A 3,341-nucleotide genomic window follows, 5' to 3' on the forward strand; every position below is an offset into this window, starting at 1 on the left:
AAGAAGTATAATATCATTAAACCACTCAGAACCCACATTCTTCCGTCATATCCTGCCCACTCCATGAGACTAAGGATTCAGTTAAAAAATATGATCATATATGTCAAAAATATTTCTTAAACTGTAAACATTTTATAACTCACTATACATTATCTGTTGCTACTGGTTGTATGTTGTGTGCAGTGCTGTATTAAGCCGTGTGGAGACCCCAAAAGAACCAGAAAATAGGTTCCTACCAGCAAGGAATTGGAAGTCTAAGTGAGGAGACAGAATGACACCCACTACCCAATTATAGTCCATTACACTAGACTGTAGGGACCCATGCAGTCAGGGGCCATTACTCTTCGTTCATTACTGCCCCACCAGGCCCCACACATAATAAGACCTAGATAAATACATGCTAATGGAGGAATGGATCAATTACCTGGCAGCCTATGATTCAGAGTCTGGACACAGGACTGATTGCAAGTGCTAGAAGCATCGGCGAGCAGAGATAGAGGAGGTGGTCGCACTCAGCTAAGGCACTGAGGCTGGGCTTCATTTCCAAGTTGCAGCGTCAAAGAAGGGAAGACAAATATTCCAACCCAGGGGAGGCCAGACAAGGAAAGATACATGGAAGTGAGGAGTTCAAGGCAGCTTGGATGGAAGAAGAGAAGTGGGAAGAAGGCTGCAGGTCCCCTGAGCACTATGGCAGCTGGACAGTGGTACGGGGATGGAGTGGAGAAGGACAGGAGGTCCTTGGGCACAGGGAGAAGGAGGGAGGGGAAAAACCCTACAGCCCAGCAGGCCACAGGGGGAACCCTGTCACAAACGCTTCTGCCCTTCCATGTAGAAGAACCCCACCTTTTCCTCTTTTATTCAGTGTCCAATCCATTCTAGAATCAGCTGGGTGAGCAAAGGTGAGTTGGAGCAGTCTCCCACTTACCAGGACATCAGAGCCTTTTACAGTGGGACCGACAGTCAGTGACATGAATCACTAAGGGCTGTGGCGCATACCAGGAAAGCCAGGGCCATGAGCCCAGGCACACTCAGATGCCCATCCCAATTCAACACTCTTAGGTCGAGATCCTTAGGCAAGCTGACTTTTTTAAAACTCAGTTTCGTCACCTAAGACCAGTCCCTGCCTCACTAGCTGGGAAGATGAAATGAAGTCTCCCAGGTAAAGCATTCAGAAGGGTACATGGCTCATTCCCAGGACTGCATGAACCTTCGTGTTGTCACGGAGAGCCACATCGGTGAGGCTGGGGAAGGCTGGATGGAGGTGCTGGCATTACAGTGTTACAGAATAAGGGTATGTGGCAGAACAGGGTGAAGCAATTAACTAAATCTTCATTTGTCACAGCAGGAAATTAATAAGCAATACCTAAACTAGATGAATCCAGACTTGAAACTAGATGGATCCAGACTTGAAAAGAAACAGCGTTTAGATTGCAGAGAGGGAAAGCCAGGGCATCCTTTGTAGGAGGCACAGGAGCAAAGCACCAGTGCAGGAAAACAGCGTGTTCAGGGAGTTGCGAAGCTTTCTTTTTGACTCCTGGAGGGTGCATAGGAGCTATGTCAGGAAAGTCAGAGAGACTCTCCTGGAGGTGTCCTGAGGTGTCCACAGCAAGAAATGCAGACCTTGTTCTGGAGTCAGTGGAGAGCTGCAAAGGTTTTGAGCAGGAAAAGGAGCCGGTCAAGGTGACGGCCCACGGAGCTCTCTGGCAGGCCTCAGGCAGAGGCTGCTGAGAATGGACTATGTGGGGAGCCTGTGTGGCCCAGGCCTAGCTCCCAGAGAGGGTGGAAAGCGGGGCGCCTTTGCAATAAATCAATGCTGACATGTGCTGATGAAGACCTAGGATTGAGATGTAGTGCTTGGGACTTTATCTCTTTCACAACTGGCTTAGATGGGGTAACAAGAGAGGAGATAAAGGGTCATGTTAATGATTGCAGAAGCAACACGGTTCAGGGAAACATCGATACACCTCATCTAATCATTCACCAAGAAAGCATCAACCAGGGAGTTGCGTGAGAGGAGTACAGCTCTGCAGCCCTGACAAACGAGCTGGAGTCCAGATGAGGCCTGGGCTTGGACAAAATGAAAAATGGATTGTTCTCAAAATCTCCTTCAAGCCTCTTCAGGGTCCCCTTGCCCAGTTACCATCACATTTACCCTCGAGTGACCAGGCCCCATGGCCACACCCAAATACACCATGTCTCCAGGTGCAGTGTGGCGTAGATGTTAGAATTCCTACAGTGCTACTCCCTAGCTGTGAGGCTTTGGGTGACTTAACCTGGTCACTTGAGACCTTGGCAGCAAATGGAGATAAAGGTGACTCCTTTATGAGTAGACTTACTGTTTGGGAGTCCCCAGGCAGGAAGCTAAAGTAAGTAAAATAGAATAACTTTTATTCTACTGTCTTAGTCTCTTCCTCCAACATTAAAGTAAAAGCTAGTGAAATCCTACAAGGCACTGGATTGAGAGTCCCTGTAGGTCCCTGACCTCAACAGCTGCTGGTGTGTGTTCAAAGAGCCCATGTATTTCCCTTTCATGCTGATTCTAAATACACAGATACTGTTTGCTCATAATACAAAGATATGTCACAATCTGTGAGAACATCTAAACTTATTTTAAAAACTTATAGTAGTGTACTAGGGCGAGCGTTCCAGAGACTTGCAGGTGTTCTCAGACCAAATTGCTGTTTTCTGAAGAAATTATGTGACATGTTGACACCACAAAAGCAATTCCAAAATGAAACCTGATTTCAGTACATCTTTCTGATGGTTTGAATGTAAAACAGGTTTATAAAATTTTATTTCCCTTTTGAATCTGGCAATGATCTAATAGGAGTGCTATTATTGCCTTTTGATATTTTTCCACTGAATTTTAAGCCACTTACATCATATATGTATGGGTATCAAAATAGATCTTCTTATGCTTTCTCATTAGGAATACAAAGTTCACGACAACTTTTCTTCTCGATAAATCTAATTTTGGGGCTAGAATTTAAGTTTCTATTTTCCTACCAAAGGAAGTAATAATGGCACTCCTGTTAGATCATTGCCTATTAAGTAATGAATGCAAATGTTGTAAGACTATGGGAACCATGTTTGTCCCACACGAAACACTAGAGAGTAAAAGTGTGTTAGAGGCAGCACTTGAATAGAACTGATTCTTATCTGTTCAATTTCCGGTGGGCTTCTCCTGCAATGTTTTCTTAGCTCAGGTAAGTTCCTCATAGCAATGGAAAATAATAGAATCGTATTTTGAAACATCTCTGAGTAATTCAGGCTAGGTTTTCTTCCAGCTGGTCTGAACATGTACGGTTTTGTAGGGTGGCATTAAGAATAACATTAAGAAC

The 3,341-nt window shown here is 45.0% G+C and overlaps 1 annotated feature.

Annotated features, from left to right (window-relative positions):
• Positions 368-1,567: an enhancer, noted in NCBI's record as "P300/CBP strongly-dependent group 1 enhancer chr15:58576109-58577308 (GRCh37/hg19 assembly coordinates)". NCBI's record gives its function as "activates an origin of replication core promoter dependent on BRD2, BRD4, P300/CBP, MED14 and CDK7 cofactors, with strong dependence on P300/CBP, by STARR-seq in HCT116 cells {active_cell/tissue: HCT116}" and the evidence as "EXISTENCE:reporter gene assay evidence [ECO:0000049][PMID:35650434]".

The sequence above is a fragment of the Homo sapiens genome, chromosome 15 (genome assembly GCF_000001405.40).
Source record: "Homo sapiens chromosome 15, GRCh38.p14 Primary Assembly".
NCBI lineage: Eukaryota > Metazoa > Chordata > Mammalia > Primates > Hominidae > Homo > Homo sapiens.